Here is a 19,167-nt window from a genome sequence, read left to right as displayed (position 1 = left end):
CTAAAGGAAACAAGCCAAAAAAAAAAAATGCAGTTAGAGACACAGTGCAGGGAAATATTTCCCTCTTCCAAATCAACAGCACAAATGTGATGATAAATGGTAATTGCCCCTTGGCCTTCGTATTGGGAAGCAAAAGGGAGAGATGCGGACTATGGCCCTGGGTGAGGAAGGGGGCCCAGCTGACTCTTGCCCTGGGAATTGGGCCCATGTAGATATGTCTTCTGATTGGATTTGTAGATTGCTCCAAGTTCTAGTCAATATCTCTGATTATTTCCTTAGGATAGATTTTGAACACTAAAATAACTGAACCAATGGGCATAAACTTTTTAAGGTTGATACATATCATCATATTATTTCTCAGATATACTATACAGTATAATTGCATTATCACCTTTCCAGTACCAAACTGTACTGCTGCATACTATATAAAAATGATATCGCACTAATCTTTCACCTCTTTGATTATTGTTCAACAAGTAGAATACTGTTTCACGTAAGTATTGCTCTTTGTATATCTTCTTTTGTAAGCTGACGGTTCATATTCTTGGCTCATTAAAAGTGTTTAATTATATACTAATAAATATTTAATAAAGGTGAGAAAATACAGATAAATAAAAAGAAAAACAAACAGCCATAATCCCACCAGGGACCATTAACCACTATTAATGTTTTGGTGTCTTTATCCTAGTTTTCATCCATGCATTCAATATCCATAAATATATGTATTTTCTTTTTTAAAAAATAAGATTGGCCGGGTGCAGTGGCTCAGGCCTGTAATCTCAGCACTTTGGGAGGCTGAGGCGGGCAGATCACGAGATCAGGAGATTGAGACCATCCTGGCTAACACGGTAAAACCCTGTCTCTACTAAAAATACAAAAATTAGCCGGGCGTGGTGGCGGGCGCCTGTAGTCCCAGCTACTCAGGAGGCTGAGGTAGGAGAATGGCGAGAACCTGGGAGGCGGAGCTTGCAGTGAGCCGAGATCACGCCACTGCACTACAGCCTGTGTGACAGTGCGAGACTCCGTCTCAAAATAAATAAATAAAAAATAAATAAATAAAATAAGATCATACTATACAGAACTGTTTTTGTAACAATATTTTCCATTAACAGTGTGGTGTGAAAATAATTTCAGGATAAAAATATATACATTCAAATAATTTGTATTTATTTGTTATTGTTTAGAGACAGAGTCTCGCTCTGTGAAGTGGAGTGATCATCGGTCATTGCAGCCTTGAGCTTCTGGGCTCAAGCAGTCTTCTCACCTTGGCCTCCCAAAGTGCTGAGATTACAGGCATGAGCCAACACACCCAGCCCTCAAATCATTTTTAGATGTTATATTGTATTCCATTGTAATTGTGTACCAGAATTTACTCAATATCCCATTTTGGACTTTAGTTTAATCTTACTTTGATACTATAAATATTTATCATGTAGCAAATATTTACTAAATATTCTCAATTACTTCCTTAGGATAAATTCCAGAAATAGAATTGCTGGATTAAAGGTTATATATTTTCTTAAGGCTTTTAAAAGTATATTACCAATTACATTACATTATGAATTATCTATTTCCCAAAACTTGTATCAGTTTATACTACCACTAGCAGTATATGAGAGGACTGGGGCGGGGGCAGATTGTAGTTTCTTAAGATGGCTGCAACAGTATCTTCCATCTCACAGTGTTCCAGAACTCTGTCACACCCGTCAAAGGTGAAGCCCAAGGTTCCTCCCCTTGAACCTGTTCAGGCCTTTCTATCTGCATCCTGGGCGAGCCGTTACATCAACCTCAACCAACAGAAAATCGCAAAAGTCATGCTAGGTGGCTTCTGAGGCTAGCACATGAAAAGGCCACCCTGAAGGGCCCAGCCACCATGCCGTGAGGAAGTCTGAGCAGCCCATGGAGAGGCCCATGGGTAGAGGACTGGAGGCCCCTCCCACAGCCCCAGCTAAGCTTCCAGGCAGCAGCCAACACCAACTTGCCAAATGAACTGTGCCTAGATACCCTGCACGGAGCAGCCAGGAGCTGTTTTCTGCTGAGCTCTGATCATGTTACCAATTCATGAGCAAAATGAGTGACTGTTGTTTCAAACCATTAAGTCTGGGAGTGGCTGTCACATAGCAATGGATAACTGATACATCTCATTTCCCCTCACTCCAGCAACACTAGGTATCATCATCATCATCATCATCATTTCTTTGCCAATAGGTTAGCCAAAAAAAATTGCATCTCTCATTCAGTCTTTAGGCCCTTTATTTTCAGTAGGGATTTAGTGCTTTTATTATTTACAACAGAAGTTGTTAAAAACCAAAATTATAACAAATTTTAAAATCTTACTTGGCTTTTATGTATGATTCAGTAATTGGACAGCCCTCAGAACCCAGAACAGGTTCAAAGAACTTCAGGGCTGCAGTGTACTCAGAGAGAATTTAGGGACAGAAAACAGCAAGTGGGATATACAGTTTAACTGGATTGCCTTATCTGAATCTATTGACCACCTACAATTGACTAAAGCTCAGAGGCTGTAACTGACACTTAGCCACTTGTTATATGAATATACTCCTAACTAGTTTCATTTAGCATGAATGACTCCATATTGGTTTGGTCTGTTGGTTACATCATAGGAGCCTAGGCCAAATCAGTGGCCTCCTACAAATTTTATTGAATGGGCTTTAGTATCCTTTAATCCTATTTATTTTCCTTGCTATTTTTGCCTTCCAAAAGAAATATTTTATTACAAACATTCGAAAACATATTTAAGTGAAAGCCAGGACTAGGGCGAGGCTACTGAGACACTCACTGTCAGGGGCTCTGCAGTTGTGGGCCCCTGAGGTCAGGTGTCTCCTTAACTTTTGCATCCTGGCACCTCACTTGCCTTGCTCTAGTCCAAGCCCTGACTTAAGTTCATCCTAATGTTGCTTTCTAAATATAACTGCTATTCACAGTTCAGTGTGTATTTTTCTAGACTTTTTCTAGACAAACGTTAGCATATATATAACAATAGTAACTTATGTTTATAAAAATGTGTCCTTCTTGGGACATTTTATCAGGTCAATAAATGCAGACCTAGCTCATTCTTAAAATGGTGTGTTGCAGAAGAGTCACAGCCCTTTGTCATATTTACAGCATATATTTCCCCAGCTTTTAAATATGTAGCTTTACTTTATTTTTTTATTTTTATTTTTTTATTTTTTTGAGACAGAGTCTCGCTCTGTCCCCCAGGCTGGAGTGCAATGGCGCGATCTCAGCTCACTGCAACCTCCACCTCCCAGGTTCAAGTGATTCTCCTGCCTCAGCCTCCTGAGTAGCTGGGATTACAGATGTGTGCCACAATGCCTGTGTAATATTTTAGTAGAGATGGGGGTTTCACCATGTTGGCCAAGCTGGTCTCAAACTCCTGACCTCGTGATCCACCCACCTCGGCCTCCCAAAGTGCTAGGATTACAAGCGTGAGCCACCGTGCCTGGCCTTATTTCTTAAAAGTGACGTCAAGTAGATGGATTACTCACATCAGTTGCATTTTCCATTGTTTTCATGCTTTCAAAAACAGTGAAGTATTCAATTATATTTCCCCTTTTTTTTTTTTTTTTGCATTAGCTTACTAATCTACTGAGATGTATTTTGGTATATGGTATGAAGGTGAGATCTTACCTGAATTTTCCCCCAAATAATCACTATTCTCAACATCATTTGCTAAGCAATTCCTCCCTCCCCAGGGCAGAACTCTGTAACCATTGGAACCCGGGATGGTTAAGAACTTGATGGGGACATTGCAGAGCAGATTCAAACTAGGTAAAAATTTTAGCCCCTTCCAAATGTGAGCTGCTCTTCCGTGGTGGGCAGAGGTTCGCAGGTAGACACAGGTGAAAGGCATCAAAGCACTGCAGCAGGGGAGGCAGGAGGTTTAATAGGCAGCACCTGAAGCCCACTTTCCTATGGAAGAACATGCAGCCCCAGGAAAAGAGCTTTTGCTCTCTCAGTATAGAGACGACCAAGTCTTGCCAAAGCAGCAGCTGGAGCTACCAGCACTATCAGGAGGATCTCACCCTAGCCCTAGAGTCTGTAGATGTTCCCTGAGTCCTCCTCACCTAAGTAAGGTCAATGCCCCCATGGACTGCCCCTTAACTTTGTTCTCTCACATTGGCAAAGGTCTCCTCCTCTGCCTTGTGATTTCCAGACTCTCTTCCACTGTGACCCAGGCCTGGCACAAACCCCCTGGGCAGCAGTGCAACCTGGAGTGATGGGGCCAGTGAGGGTGGCCAGAGAGACTCAGCCGGCAGCTATGCAGTCCAACTGACCCTCGCCGAGGCCACTGGCTCCCACGGCCATTGGTGAGTGAGTTACAGGGAATTCTTCTGCAGGGCAGAGGCCAAGGCTGCGAGTGGGGCCTCCTCTGCAGCAAACAGTGAACTGTGTCACCGAGACCCCAGGAACTGGGGTCCCATGGCCCAGCCCCTCTCTATGGAGAAGACTGTGCTGCTGGGGCCAGGCAGAGGGCAGAGGCCCAGGGTGGGAGAGGAAGGGATGAGAGGGCAGCTTCTTACCCTCTTGGGTGTGAATGACCCTTGAGGGCAGCAGAGAAAGGGAAAGCAAGGGTCAGAGACAGGCCAGGTGTGACATCCAGGAGAAGCCAGGGCTCTGTCCTGCACAACAGCATGCCTGAGGAGGGACAAGGAGTCAGGTATGAAGATTAAATTGCTCCTCTTGAAGTTTGGTTTAGTTCTTAAAGCTAGGGGTGGGAATCCTATCGCCCTGCCCAAGGAGCACCTTTCAGAGGTGGTGGAGGGAGGGGTGAAAGGGGTGTTGAAGGGGAAGAGGAGGGATGCTGTGGAAGGATACTGGGCCCACCCTGGAGCTTCCTTGGCACCTGAGGGAGAATGAGGCAGTGATGGGGCTGCAGAGGCCTATGGGGCGCTCTGCCCCAAGACTGTCAGGCTGGTGTGAGTGAGCTCTCCCCTCTCACACCTGGCCCGGGATTCTATCAGGATATTGATCTTATAGGCTGTGATTTCCTCTGGCCAAGAATCCTTTCTCTGGAAGGCCCTGCAGGAAAAACCTCTCCTCTCCACTCTACATGTAGCTGGCAATACATGGATGGGAATCCCAGGAAGAGGGAGAGGAATTTAGCAGGGACCCGCAAACTAAGTCTGCGGCCCCAATTTCACAGACGAGCTGAGCCAAGGTCACGCCCAACGAACCTGGTTTCTTCCCCTCCTTCAAACGAGGCCTAAAAACAAGGACCCGAGACAGGGCACTTCAGCCTCGATGTAGGGAATGGAGCGAGAGCTCTAGAAAAGGCGGATTCCTTCAGGGTGTCCCCACTCCTTGACACCAACACACAACAGTGGTTACTGCCACTGTTGGAGGGAAGAAGGGCTGGCACCCAGCAGCACCACCATATAAAGTCTCAGGAAAGTGTGTAACTCTACCGATGGAACAGGACATGAAACAGAATCACATGTGTTAGAAGGGGTAGAGACTGCAGCTCCAGGGTTGAGTGGGTGGGATCTGGGGTCAAGTCCTGGATCTACCTCTCACCATTTGGGAGAATAGGGCAAATGTATTTATTTTGGTGGGAGTAAAGGGGATAGGATGTTTCTTAATCTCTTTAAGCCTCAGCTTCTTCATCTTGCGTTGTTGGAGGATTAAATGAGATTTAAATGAGTGCAAAGTTCAATAAATCATACACATCAATTCTCCAACAGCATACACATTTCAGGCATTTTAGGAGCCCCATCTCATGAAGGAAATCCATACTACTGTGGCAGATGGGGGTGGGGAGGCACTTTCCACTCAACACCTCAGTTCAACTCTGGCCAGTGGCACCTGCCGGGGTGGCTTGGGGCTTGCCACCTGGAGGCCCAGCTCCAGGGACACCCTTCACAGAATATCCTGTGGGAACGGCACCCCCCTCCAAGCACAACAGGGCCCCTTGAGTTTTCAGGTATCAAGACAGGAGACGACACGACATGAGCAGTGGGCTACCATTATTAAGCACTTAGTGTTTGCCCAGCATGGTACAACAATCTGGTAGGTGGGTAGTTTATCTCCAATGACACATGGGGACAAGGGGATAAGTTATCTTGCCCAAAGTCACACAGCCAGTGAGTGTTGGAAGCTGGATTCAAACCCAGACGTCAGATTCCAGAGTCCATTCTCTTCAAGGCTGGACTTGACCCCACCCTGACCCAGGGCCCAGATTTGAGGGCTCTCTCTGAGCCCACCTGACTTTCCTCCAGGGTCAAGGCTGGCTGGGTCCCCTGGAGCCCTCTCCTCCACCCCCACACCCAGAGGACAGGCTGCATCAGGGGTCTTCCCACCCCCACCCCATACCAAGGCTGCTGGAGAGGAGCCTGGCCCAAGGTGGCGCTGCCCCTCTTGGACCTCCAAGAATGCCGCATGGAGCAGCCCCTCAGGGCTGTAGTCCCTCTACACCTACATTGGGCCCCTCCAGCCTGGACCCCCACCCCTCCCACTTCCTGGCTTCCCATCCTTCAGGTCTCGCAGAAGCCTCCTCAACACCCTCCCTGCTTGGTCTCTATCCTTCAGAACCCTCATCACAACCTGTCCTTGCCTCTAGAACGGAAGCCCCATAGCAGCAGGGACCACGTATCTGTTTTAGCTTCAGTTTCTAGCCCAGTGCAGCATTGTGAAAATCCTTAGTAATATTTTTAAAAAGTTTTCGAATTCTACTTTTCTTTGCTGACTTGGCATGTGCTTTCTCCTCTGCCCGTAACCCCCGTTCCTCCTTATTTCCTTGCTAACACCTACTCGTCTTTCAAAGCTCCATGCCACTGTCTCCTTGAGGAAATTGTTCCTGTGCCCCCAGTAGGTAACACACCAGACAGAGGCGAGATTCTCTATCCCGCCCCAGACAAGGAGCCTTTGCTTTGCAGGGCTCCCCTTGGGACCCTCTCTTGCCAGGAGAGCCTCTAGAGAAGCCATCTAGAAGGGCATTCAAGACTCAGCAAGCTCCAGCTCCCAGCCTGGCAGACTGGGTGGGGGAGGGCCCAGCTGGTGGGCGAGGCTGGTTTATCGATGTTGCCGAGAGCCCTGGGGAAATCAAGGTGAAAGGCAGCCACGCTGCTGAGGAGGCCCACCCGTTTATCAACCAGAGGGGCTGGGGCCGGGCGAAAAGAGGCTTGGCTGCCAGAGGCAGCTGTGAGGTGGGAGGTCCACACCACTCCGTGGACCTGGAGGCTGGGCTACACACTGTGCAGCCCGGGCTGCTGCGACAGTGTTTCCAACATGGCGCTAATTCTAGGTAACTAAGTTTGGCTTTAGAAATACCGTCACTGGAGCCACAGGGCTTGCTGACAGAAATCCCCAGCACTTGGCATTGGGCAAGGAGCCCTTAGGGGGTGAAGGGCAGGCTTATTCAGCGGCCTTGGTGCAGTGGGCACACAGGGCACCGGCCCTGGGAGCCTCTGTCTTCCTCTTGCAGGCCAGGGTTGCCTCCTGATTGTGGGTTCCTGTCTGTCTCTCAGGCCCCCAGCCAGGGCCAGCCCAAGGGAGCAGGGGGTGCAGAGCACAACCAGGAGGATGGAGCCAATGGGTGCCTGGAGCAGGGGCACAGAGAGGGAGTCCAACCCAGGAGCCCAGCAAGGCGCTGCAGCTAAAGAGGTCGAGGGAAACATGCAGGGAGACTGCCATCCCTCCCCAGCCCCAGCTGCCCCATAGCAGGAGTGGCCTTGGCATCCCACCTGCTCCACATAGCACCCAGGCCATCTGAGCAGAGTGAAGATGTCAAAGAGAAAACCAAATCGGATTGAGGCTCCTGCTCCCCCTTAATGAGGTTCATTATCAGCAGCTCTGATCCTTGTAAAACCCAGCAGGCCGGATTAGGGGCAGGCTCTCTAATCCTGGCTGACTCCTCCCCACCGAGTGGCCAACCCTGCAGCTCTGACAAACAAGCCCTTGCTTCCTGGAGGAGCTGGAATTAGGCAGGTGCAGACAGGCTTCTCCCTCACCAGCCCAGGGCACTGAGGCAGGAGCTCTCAGGGAGGATTGGGGCAGGGGGTGGCAAGGCTGCACATCCAGAGGCCTGTCTCCGTGCATGAAAAGGCCATGGGGTTTGGGTGCAGACAGTTCTATGGGCAGTCTGTGGCCAGGAGCTGTGTGTGCTGAGGGACATCGAGTCTGGCTGCATTCCAGGTGAGGCTGGTCTCTGTGCATTCTGTCCAGACTGGACACTAGGTCTCCAAGTAGCAAGTTAAAGAACACACCAATGCTTGCCTTAACAAAAATAATTTATTCCACACACCTCCCAAGGCAGGGGGTAGCGTGGGAATCAAGCATGTGTAAGGCACTGCCCCCGCCAGACCCTTCTAACTTCTGCACACTGGAAGGTGAAACCTGGAGAGAGAAGACACTCCCCTCCCTAGCTTCTACCTGGCACCCTCCAAAGATGAGCATTCATCTTGGAGACCAAAATAAAAAAGGACAAAAGACCAGGCTCAGAGGGAGCAGAGCTCAATGGGGGGAAGTGAAAGCAGCCATCTTCTCCTGCAGCTAAGCCAGGGCAAGGCACTAGAGACCCACATCCTTCCCATGCCACCAACTCGTCAGGTCCCACCAAGCAAGCCACTCACCCTACAGCCCAGCAACCATGGCTTGCCTCACCTGGGAGACCAGCACGACTTCCAGAAGCTTCCAAACCCCACCCTGAAGCCAAACCCCACCCAGGAGGTCTGAGGAGCTGGAGGCTGGCCAGGCATAGAGGGCCCGGGGTGGTCCTTCCTCCCAGGGTGCAAAGGCTTCTTCATTGTCCGGAAGGGAGCAGGGTGGGCGGAGCCCCAGCAGCTAGTGAGGAGTTCCATTCCAGCCCACCCAGCTGGGGGACCCTCCTCTGGCTTCACTTGCCCCAGTTGAGGGCCAAGACCAAGCAGGAGAGACTGAGGCTCCAGTGAGAATGAGGCAGGACTTCAAATAAGCTGAAAAACAGGAATGTGGTGCTAAGAGGCCAGGGACTGAGCTGCCCTATGCCCACTGCCCGGGGCTGCCCTCCCTGCACAGCAGGGGAACCTGGACCCTGCTCCTGTCTTTTGTGTCAAAGGAGCTCTCTGTCCTAGCAACCCCAAGAAGCTTCACTGGAGCAACTCGTTTTCCTGAATTTCCCACACTTCTAGGCCAGACAAGGAGCAAGGGGTGGGAGGGGAGGGAATGGGGTCAGGGGGCTTGAGGTGCCTAGAGATGGCAGCTCCCTCTCCCGCCTCCTCCCCAGGTGGTTCAGGCTGCAGGGTGGCCAGCATGGCCCTTCAGGGCCCTTATCTTGGCCTGGAAGTAGGTGTACATGGCCAGCAGGCCCATGAAGGACAGGGAATAGAGCCCCACACAGAGGCTGATGTCCAGGTAAGAGAAGCCCCCTCCCAGCACCTGCAGCCACTGGCCTCGGCCCCGTCCAGCTCGGGCCTCCAGCTGGCCCTCAGGGATGTCGACCAGCTGCTTGGAGCTGCGGCCCACGCGCCTGACCTCCAAAGGGCCCCAGAGGCGGTTCTTCTCAGCCCTGGACTCAGCCAGCAATGCAGCCCCTGTGTCTCGCTTGCTCAAGTGCCACTGCCCAAGCGGCTGCTCCTGCTCATTCCTCTGAAGCTCTGCCATGTGCTCAGGAGGCTCCTGGCCTGGTGCAGCTCTGAGGCCAGGGTGCAGCTTCGGGGGTCGACTTGCCTCAGGTCCCTCAGCCGGCACATGTGGGGTGGTGTTTGTGGGGGACTTCATCATCTCAGGCTTCCCAGGGTCCAGAGTTGAATTCCGGCTTTCCAGCTCCAGGGCTCCCATCGCCAGCTCTGGGGCGGCTGCCACATTCTGCACATCCCTCCGGGCAGCTGACCCAGCTGCAGGGAAGTCCAGGATGATGTTGCTTGGGGAGAAGTGGGCCTTGAGGAAGTTGAGGGTGGCTTCCACGTCCCACACGGGCACATCCAGGCGTTCATTGTGGCAGGCAGAACAAAGTTCACGGGGTGGCCACTGCACCTTGGGGAACTGGGGGTCCTCGCTGGGGGCACCTACAGAGGGAAGCATACACAGGCTGGTGGTGACATCAGTCCCACCCAAAAACCCAGACCACACTCCTCCACTCAGAACGCCAGCTTCCTTGTCTGCAGAAAGGGCTCGCCACTGCCCTTCCAGAGGATGGGTAATTAGAAAATACAGATTACAAACACTAGCCCACAGTGGGAGCTCAACAGATGGCAGCATGGAGGAGGAGGCAGATCCACCTACCCCTCAGCCCCGGCCCTCCGTGGTTTTCCAGGGAAGCGTGAAGAGCGCCATCTCAGTCATTTCCCGGTGTTGGCCAGACCCACTGTCCTGCTATGTGGACTTTACAACCAGCCTTTACCCCAGTACCAGACATGGGAAAGGGCAAGAATACTCATTTTGATCTGTTTTGCAGTCTTTGGTCGGTCTGCTCGTGTTTGTCTTTTTTTGCATTTTTCTGACATTTTCCAAATTATACAAACTGCACAAATAGGTTACTTTGTCAATTCAAGGGAAAATGCGTTTTCAAGCAAGAGGCAGCTGCTCATGGCAATCCTTGCTTTTACCCAGCAGCAGCCCTCTGGGGTAGGGGTGGGCTCCAAGGGATAGTTGGGGGGAGACCTGAGGGGTACTTGGAAGAGTCAGGATGCTGCTGGGGCTGCAGGCTGTTGGTACCCCAGGTGGGCCCAGCCCTCTAGGCAGCCTCTGGATGAGTCCCAGAGGGTGAGCCACGGCCACCAGCCCCTCACGCAGTGTTGCCCAGGGAATGCATCAGCCCATCCCTTCTGTAGAAGCACTTCTCCTAAAGGTTTTAATAGGGGGACAAGTTGTTGACTACAAGGAAGCAGGAGCAGCAACAGCAAGTGGCATGCAAGTCAGAATGGTTACTTTGGGGAGGGGACAACAAGCAGAGTCAAGGGTCCAGTCATGAGTCATAGTGATCAGGCCTTGTGGAGGGGGCTCTCAGCTTGTGCCTGGTAATTTTGAGTTTCTTCTGAAAGGACCCCACCAGAGAGGGGAGGGAACCACCCTGCTTCTGGCCTCTCAGGGACAGGCCCAGGCTCCTGGCCCTCCAGCAGCAGCTGGGAGCCTGCCGAGGTCAAGGGGCTGAAGGGTCAAATGGAGCATTTGGTGGCAGGGGCGGGGTGGGGGAAGGAGAAGACAGGCACATGTCTTCCTTTCAAAGTTCGATAGGAGGCCCCAGGAGACCACGACCAAGTGCAGGCGCCTGCACCACCACCTGCTCCATTCAGCTCCTTTAACCTCGGCTCCGCCCTGGTCTCCCCCCCCCGGGAGGCTGTCACAGCCACGTGCACCGCTCCCTCCCGACACACAAACCGCCTCCTGTCCACAGATGGCTCCCTCCCGACCCAGCTCCCTGGAGTTTAATGTGTTTGCCTGTTAGAGCCATCAGACTCCTGATGAGGAAAAGGAAGCACCATAATGAGGGAACGCAGAGGGCAAGGCTCCCTCCTGGGAGCCGGTGCCTGGTATTTCCAGGAACGACCTGGTCTCCTCCAGCCCCTTCTCTCATCAGACCCTTCCCAGGGAGAGAGAACCCCAGCTCCCTCTGCCCTAGCAGTTTGAGTAAGGGGCCAACAGCCAGAAGACGGAGCAGGGGAGGCGGGAGAGGGACCCCAGTAGGCTAGAGAGGGGCCCTAGAGCAGGGAAAAAGTGAGCAACGGCATGGGAAGACCAGGGTCTTACAGTGTCAAAGCCTTGGCTTCCTCATGTCAAAAATGGGGCTGATGATACTGGCATTGGTTAACAGGCCTGGGCTGTGACTGAGGGGACAATGAGTGTCCCTTCCCCAAATTTTGGCCTAAGACTCCCAAGTATCCTCACCCCCTCGTCCCCCACAAGTGACTCCAGCCTTGGGGATGGTCCTTCCTTACCTGCAAGGCGAGCATTGACCCTGTTGTGGCTAGACCAGAGCCAGAGGACAGCGGCGTTGGGACTCCCCACCCGGTGCATGGAGGCAGCAGCCATCTGCTCGAAGTGGCTAGCGCAGTCTCGGCAGCCGAAGAAGTAGTGCACGTAGCCTCGGATGGCTGGGAGGACCTCCTTGGCCTTGGCTACAGGGCAGAGGAGATGCCACGCACCAGCCCTTCAGGCTGCCAGCCCCACAGCCGTTGCCTCCCCAGGCCACCCTGCCGCCCCCCATCCTGCCGTGGCCACCCCTGCACAGGTGCCACACACCCCAGCCTATGCCAGCAGAGGCCCAGTGTCCCCTTGTCTACTTCTCTACCTGCCATGGTCACTTTACAGGAGACCCCATCCCCCCAAAACTCCTAAACCTGGATCCCCTTCCCTGCCACTAACCTGGGTGCCTGTCACTCACACCCAGGACAAAGTCCACACTCCTTGGCAGGAAACTCAGGCTCTTTGTGACATGGTGAGAGAGGTCAGCAGGGGCCAGAGGGCCACCGCCCTAGCCCCTGGCCCTTCCTCCCCTGCCCACTCATGCTGCCTGTCCGACTTGCTTCCACCATGCGTCACCTCCCTCGGGCCTGGACCTGGCCTGCACATGCCCTTCCTAATCTGTCTCCATCTCTCCTCGCTCTCCCCTTCCATTCCCCCCACCCCCTCCCACCCACTGGACCCTCTGGACTGGCATCAGCAAAGACCTGTTAACCAGCCCCACTTTCTTGCTCTAACTGAAACCAGGCTCCCCGCTGAGGACACCACTCCTAATCCAACACGCCCCTCCTAAGCCCTTCACCCTCAGGCTCCAGGGCTGCTGGTGCTTGCCTCCAAGCTCGCTCCTTCCTACCGCAAACCTCCCAGGCCTTTAGAAGCCAATCTCCTGCTTTTACCCCTCCACGCAGCAGGACGTTGGCACCCTACTCTCCTCACTCCTGGCAAGGTGAGACCCGCAGCAGCCCACACCTGCCTCTCTCTCTCTCCTCTGCCTTCTCAGCTTGTTCTTCTGCACCCAGCACAGGTGCCCACCTCCCCACCACAAGGCCTCACCACACGGCCCTGGCGTTGCTCAGCCTCTGTCTCCGCTGCTGCTCGGGTTACCCCACTCCTCACCTCCAGGATTTCACTCCCGTTAGTGTTTTTTCTTTACTGCGTCATCCATTTATCCCCTGATAAGGGATCATTCCAACTGGGGAAAAGGATGATCATAAAGAAGTTCCCTCTAACCCAGTCATGCCCCAGTTCCTGCTCATTATCTCCAGAATCTTGCCTCCTGGTCTCTCTTCAGCCGAATCCAACAAGGCCATTACCTCCACTACTCCACCGACACAGCCCTTGCTAGAGATGTCCTCATCTTGCGCCACCTCCAGCTGCACTGGCCCCAGTGACTACACCTCTATCTTGAAACACTGGACTCTGGGGCCCCCTTGAAATCACCATGGCCTCCCCCGTTCAGCCTCCTTTGCTGGTGGTTTGATGCTCAGGATTCAGTCCTCAGCACTCTTCTCTACCTCCCTGCCAGGGAGCTCATCCAGTCCCACAGCTTGAGCTCTGATGCTACTAATGACTATAAAGCTAATCTCTCTATTCCCCACCTCTCCCTGGAACTCCAGACTCAACTGTGCACACCTCCATTGGGAGGTCTATTGACACAAAGCGGGCCATTGATTCCACCATCCCAACCCGAGCCCCTGACTCCTCAGCTTATGGGACCATCATCCACCAGAGGCTCAGGCCCCACAACCCTGGAGTCCACCCGAGTCCTGCTTCCCACATACCCTTCCTCCAATCTATCAGTAAGTCCCTCAGCTCTGCCTTTAACATATCCCCAAATCTGACCACTTCCTCCAGGGGCACACTGACAACCCTAGTCCAGGCCCAACCACCACTGCTGGGCGAGCATGCAGCTTGCTCCTCAGCTGCCCTGCCTCCCCCTGCCTGCAGTAGCCCATCCTCCACCTTTCTAAAGTGTTAACCAACTGTCACTTCCGTTAGCCTCTCCAGTGGCTTCTCAAAATGCCAACACCAACCTCCAAACCCTGCCCTCGCCAAGGCCTCTGAGCCCATGAGCGCTCACCTCCGCCCCCGGCCTGTCTCTGCAGCCTCACCTCCCTCCCTCCGGCCACAGCAGCCTTCTTTCAGTGCTGCCCACACACCAGGCTTGTCCTTTGCACCTGCTGGTCTCCAGCCTGTGCTATGGGCTGAATTATGTCCCCCCAAATTCCTATGTTGAAGCCCTAATCCCCAGCCTCTCAGAATGTGGCCGTATTTGGAGACAGGGTCTTTAAAGAGGTAATGAAGGTAAAATAAGGTCATTAGGGTGGGCCCTAATCCAATAGGACTGGTGTCCTTGCAGGAAGAGGAAATTTGGACATGGATTGGGAGAGGGACAACTGCACGGAGACACAAGGAGAAGACGACCACCGCCCAGCCAAGGAGAGGCTCGAAGAAACCAGCACAGACACCTCCACCTTGCACTTCAGCCTCCAGAACTCAGACAACAGACGTCTACTGGCTGAGCCCCAGCCTGACATTTGTGAGTGCAGCCCAAGGACACCAACACAGCCTGGGAGACTCTCTTCCCAGACGTCCCACACTGCCTTCTCCTCTCCACATGGGTCCCAGCACCGGGCCCTCCACAGGGAAGCCTTTCCCAGACCCCTCTCCAGACAGCACCCGCTCCGGCACTGCTTTGCTTTGTCTTCCTCAGCATTCGTCATCATGGCTGAAGCCATCCCTCTGTGTCTGTCTCCTGCCACTCAGATACTGGCCCTGTGGGGGCAGGGACCTGTCTCATATGCTGCTGTGTCCCCGGCACCTGCAGCGCCACATGGCATGGTGGAGATGCTCCATACACACTGGCTTCCCACACCACTGCCTGGCAGTTCCTCTGATTCACGGGGCTCCACACAGGCTGCTCCCTCTGCTGGGATGCTCCTCTCCTGGCGGAATCCCTACTCACCCATCACCCCTCAACTCACCCCGTAAGGCCTCGGGCCCCTTCCCAATGGCGTCGAGCCTGCCCTCTCTTCACCCCACATCTTTCTCTCCACCACGGCCCTAGCCCTGATGCACTGCAGGCCTCTCTGTCCCCCTGCCTCACACTAGAGGTCCACCAAGAGCGGGCACTGTCGCCCTTTTCACCCATGTATCTATCCTCCAAGCCAAGCCGCAGCCTGGTATAAACCTGGTTCCTCAATCAGTGTGGACTGAATTGGATGCGCATCCTTTCAGTCTTCAAAAGCAGGTGTGGGGCAGCGTGGCCGGAGAACATGGTGGTGCAGTTTGTGGACAATCCGAGGCAGCAGGGGAAACGTGTTTCCCCAACTTCCCCCAGGAAATTGTTTTTCAGTGGGAAGTGCAATAAAATTGCTCAAAGCACCTGCTATGTATCAGCTATGTAAACTGTAAAATACACGTTTTTTTCTTTGTTAAGAGTATAAAAAAATAGAATCACAATTTTTTCATGAAGACTGAAAGCAAAGCAAACTATAAGCCCGGAGAAAGACAGGGAGAAGCCTCAGCCCCAGAGCTCCCGGGGCCGAAAACAGGACTGGTTGAATTCCTAAAGTCTGCTCCCTCCTGGGATTGGTTCTATTCTGGCCGTGTGGGGCTACCTGCAGATAGAGCAATCCAGCCAGAGCCCCAAGGCTGACTCTCCCCATCTTCTGGCAGCTGGGAGCCAGTGGGGCAATTCAAGGGAGCTTCCCTGCCCCCTCTCCCCTTGGAGGGCCGAACAGAGCAGGGTTGGAGGCACAGTGGGGTGAACGGGTCCTGGACGTACCTGCTTCCTGTGAGTGGTCTACATTTTGCCGAGCTGCCTGCACAGTCAAGAAGTGGAAGAGGACCCACAGGGAGCAGGGAAAGCCCCGGAAATGCGGCTCACTCCCCTGGCAGCCAATCCAGTTCACCTTCTTGGCAAGAACGGCACCCTGAGGGACACATGAGTGTGAGTGCACATATGGAGAAGGAAAAGGATGGGAGAGGCAGAGACAGAAGCTTCTAGGAGACAGCCCTAAGACAAATGAGGTCCCTCAGTCTATCACCTCGAAGGTGGCATTTCCCTTTCACCAGTTCCACCCACTGAAGCAGCAGCAGACCTAAAAAGCTGTGACCCAGATCAAGCTGCATCCCGTTCCAGCCTCAACTTCCCCAGCTGTAACACAAGGGGGTTATCTCTGAGGTCCCTTCGAGATTTGACACCCTACAAGTCTACAGGGTTTTACACCTCTGCTGGCTGCAGTGACCCACTTTTGCAAATAGCAGCATGAGCAGGAGCCCAGAAGGTGCCCTGGAGAGGGCCAGGGAGGCCATGCTGAGCAGCACCACAAACTAAGAGGCAGCACAGGGTAGTTGTTAAAAACTCTGGGGTCTCACCAAGTTTTCATCCCAGCCCAAACACTTACTGGCTCCATGAACCCAGACAAGTTGCTTAACCTTTTCAAAGTACTGTTTCTTCATCTGCTAAATGGGGAGAATATCTACCTTCCACTAACATTATGAGGATTAAATGAGATGTGCGCATAGAGAGCTCAATCAATAGTCATTTATTGATTATTGTTAGGACCCAACGAAGATCACTGACTCCCTGGTGCAAACTGGCGAAGAAGGTCAGAAATGACAGGGTTAACCCCTTGCACTCTCATAAATACGGAGGATGGAGAGATCTTTATTTGCTTCCCAGACTCACCTCTTTCCTGTCGTCCAGGGCAGTTTTAAAGAAACTGTAGGGAATTTTATTTCTCTTCTGCCTCTTGAGCCATTCATTCACGGAGTGCAGGAAGTTCTGGACTAAGGGCCGGCCAGGGAAATACTGTGGGGAGGAACAAGCGGAAGCTGGAGAGTGAAAAGCAATTCCCCAAGTTCCCCGTCCTGCAGATGGTAGGAAGCTATGCAGAAGAAGGCGGGGGGCGGGGGGCGGGGGGCAGTGGGGAGGAGGTTGTGCAAAGTTCCAAAACCACCAGGAAAACATTCTAACTAAGACACAAATATGACTTCTGTACTACCTTTGCTCTGGGACACCTGGTAAGGCTAGAAGACAGGGTAGGGAAGGTGCTCGCTCTAAATGGGGTGGGGTCCTGGAAGTCTCCCTCTCTCAGACCTCAGGCTCCTGTGCAGCACCCCCCGACCATGTGCCACCACTGGGAGGAAGGCTGGAGCACTTGTGCCCCTTGCCAGGGCTGCTGGGAGCCCTGGGCCACACAGTCCTGTCTTTGGGTGGTCCTCGGATAGAGCTGACTTGCCAACTGACTGGCCAGCTGGGTTAGGTGGGCACGAGACCTTTCATTTGGATTCCATGGGCTGCCAGTGAGGACCAGCCAGGCCAGGGGCTCACAGCCAAGATCCAGATCTTGATGGTAACTCCCAGTGGTATCTGAGGAGCATGAAAAGCTACTCTGACAATAAGTCAACTCAAATCCGATTAGTATCAGCACTTTAAAACCACAAGGACTCCAGGGAGGAGGACATATGTGTGTATGTGTGTGTGTGTGCGTGTGTGCACGTGCACAGCACAAGGGGCGGAGGGCAGGAGAAAGAGGGACACAGCAGCAGGCTGATCAGATAAAACCACAAAGAGGCTGGCCGAGGGGATGAGGACCCTGAGAAAATCACAGCAAAGAAAGCAAAGACAAACATTTGAGAGGAGAAGGATACTGGAGACACGAATGGTAACTGAACAGGAAAACCTGCTAACAGATCCATTCCTCTGAGAAAGCCATTAAATATTCCTATCAAACGTTGGGCTGGACACCTTCCCCCAGAGTGAGAAATGGCCGGAAAAGACCACGCTTTGACACGTGCCCTCCTGGTGAGCCCACACGGGCCTCTGGAACTCACACACAAATTTACAGCTTGAAGTCAGCATTTCTCACTGACCTTTGCCATCATCCTGACTTAGAAACTTCCGCCTTCTAAGGCGACAGTGCCAGAAGGATGGATGAATTAAGGAGCTCTGGACAACTGGGAGCAAGGAAACCCTGGTGCCCACACGCCACCCAGTGGCCACTCCTACCAGCTGCTCACAGGAGGGAGCACAGGCTGGGAGAGGCCGGGTGGGAAGGCACCGGCAGGACATGCAGAGGGCCTCCTGACTGACCGGGCACCTGCAGGGCTGGCAGCTAGCCAGGGGGAGCCAGCAGTGTCCACTGGCACCCTTAGGGGTTCGGGCCTGTGAGCACCATGCACTTGGTGGTAATGGGCATGGGCTGGATGCGAGTGGGTGTGGCTCCCTGCCCAGCCCCTCACTAGCTGGAAGACCCTGGCAAGGTGCTTTAGTTCTCTGGGGCTTTGTTTCACCTTCTATGAAACGGAGATCATACTAGAAGCCATGCTGTGGAATCTTCTCTGAGAAACAGAATGAGGAGCTAATATACAAAGAACACTGCAGGCACCGGCAGGGCTGAAGAAATGATAGCTGCTAGGATACTACTATTCAGGAAGAAGCTACCCAAGCAAGGCAAGGGCCAGAATACTCTACAGACCCCAGGGGATGTGCGGGCAAAACCCAAACAGAGGGTCTCCAGGCCCATGCCCCCGATGCCTCTGCTGCTACTGCGGGGCATACCTGGCTTCCCTCTGTCCTCCACCCCACTGCCAGCCCTACCCCGAGGGCCCTGGCTCTGGCAGGGCAGGCACCTTCATCTCAAGCTCATTCCCAGCCCTTGCTGAAGGCAGAGACTCAGCAGGCACAGAGGGGGTGATGCCTCTGCCCAGCTCAGGGACTTTTCTGTATCTCATTCTTTTCCCCCATACCGGCTGCAAACAGCCCCACTGGGGACAAAGAAAATAGCAGGTTTGATCACAGCTGAGAGATGCGAGTGACACACAAGCCGATCTTCCTGGGGTGACTCCTTTGGAGAGTACTGGACTAGGGTGGTGGGGTGTCTGAGGCATGCCGGGAAAGCATGCTGGGTGCTCTCCCTCATGGGTCAGGAGGAGGGACTGTACGTGGGTCAGTTCTGGATTTTTCCCCTCTAAGTCTCTAGGTTGTCAACCCCAGGCCTCTGCACTGTGAGGACCAAACAGCTCTCAGCCTTGGAGGAAAGGTCTCTATTATGGCAATGGACTGAAGAACAAGGGCTCATTTTGCATGGGACTTCAGTGAGGGGCCAACGACTGTCCTGCCTTAGGCTGAAATGTCCCTGTCAGGCCCTCTCAGTGTCACCACGCATTCATGTGACCAAGCCAGGGGGCCAGGACAGGGAGGTGGGAAGGAGGGATCAGGCTGGCAGGAAGTTCCCAAGGAGAGGCACAAATCACCCGAGG

General features: G+C 53.1%; 1 protein-coding gene across 3 annotated transcripts in view, besides 4 other annotated features; it reads right to left on the bottom strand.

The window, feature by feature from the left end:
• Positions 1-2,235: 2,235 nt before the first annotated feature.
• QSOX1 (quiescin sulfhydryl oxidase 1) overlaps positions 2,236-19,167 on the bottom strand; it is a 49,162-nt gene continuing 32,230 nt past the window's right edge. Inside the window, exons 9-13 of one of the 3 annotated variants that reach the window (XM_047426230.1) lie at positions 16,592-16,714; positions 15,686-15,833; positions 11,874-12,053; positions 9,376-10,004; positions 8,232-8,933 (exon numbers count right to left, since the gene is read on the bottom strand). In XM_047426230.1, coding sequence (XP_047282186.1) covers positions 8,925-8,933; positions 9,376-10,004; positions 11,874-12,053; positions 15,686-15,833; positions 16,592-16,714 — 1,089 coding nt within the window. In that variant the 3' untranslated portion in view covers positions 8,232-8,924. Of the gene's footprint in view, positions 10,005-11,873; positions 12,054-15,685; positions 15,834-16,591; positions 16,715-19,167 lie in introns of all 3 variants that reach the window. The other 2 variants (NM_001004128.3, NM_002826.5) reach the window with 2 other exon arrangements.
• Positions 10,157-10,326: an enhancer, noted in NCBI's record as "experimental_1383 CRE fragment used in MPRA reporter constructs". NCBI's record gives its function as "activates a minimal promoter by MPRAs in K562 erythroleukemia cells, with activity observed for both the introgressed and non-introgressed 1:180165160 variant alleles {active_cell/tissue: K562}" and the evidence as "EXISTENCE:reporter gene assay evidence [ECO:0000049][PMID:34662402]".
• Positions 12,225-12,394: an enhancer, noted in NCBI's record as "experimental_1382 CRE fragment used in MPRA reporter constructs". NCBI's record gives its function as "activates a minimal promoter by MPRAs in K562 erythroleukemia cells, with activity observed for the non-introgressed 1:180163092 variant allele {active_cell/tissue: K562}" and the evidence as "EXISTENCE:reporter gene assay evidence [ECO:0000049][PMID:34662402]".
• Positions 12,696-13,367: an enhancer, noted in NCBI's record as "H3K4me1 hESC enhancer chr1:180162034-180162705 (GRCh37/hg19 assembly coordinates)". NCBI's record gives its function as "activates a minimal SCP1, AML or CMV promoter by ChIP-STARR-seq in naive H9 embryonic stem cells {active_cell/tissue: H9 hESC(naive)}" and the evidence as "EXISTENCE:reporter gene assay evidence [ECO:0000049][PMID:30033119]".
• Positions 17,819-17,938: an enhancer, noted in NCBI's record as "active region_2160". NCBI's record gives its function as "activates an Ori minimal core promoter by ATAC-STARR-seq in GM12878 lymphoblastoid cells {active_cell/tissue: GM12878}" and the evidence as "EXISTENCE:reporter gene assay evidence [ECO:0000049][PMID:35858748]".

Source organism: Homo sapiens, chromosome 1, assembly GCF_000001405.40.
Source record: "Homo sapiens chromosome 1, GRCh38.p14 Primary Assembly".
NCBI lineage: Eukaryota > Metazoa > Chordata > Mammalia > Primates > Hominidae > Homo > Homo sapiens.
The sequence above is the reverse complement of the archived record's forward strand: the minus strand, read 5'-3'. Positions and strand labels throughout refer to the sequence as shown.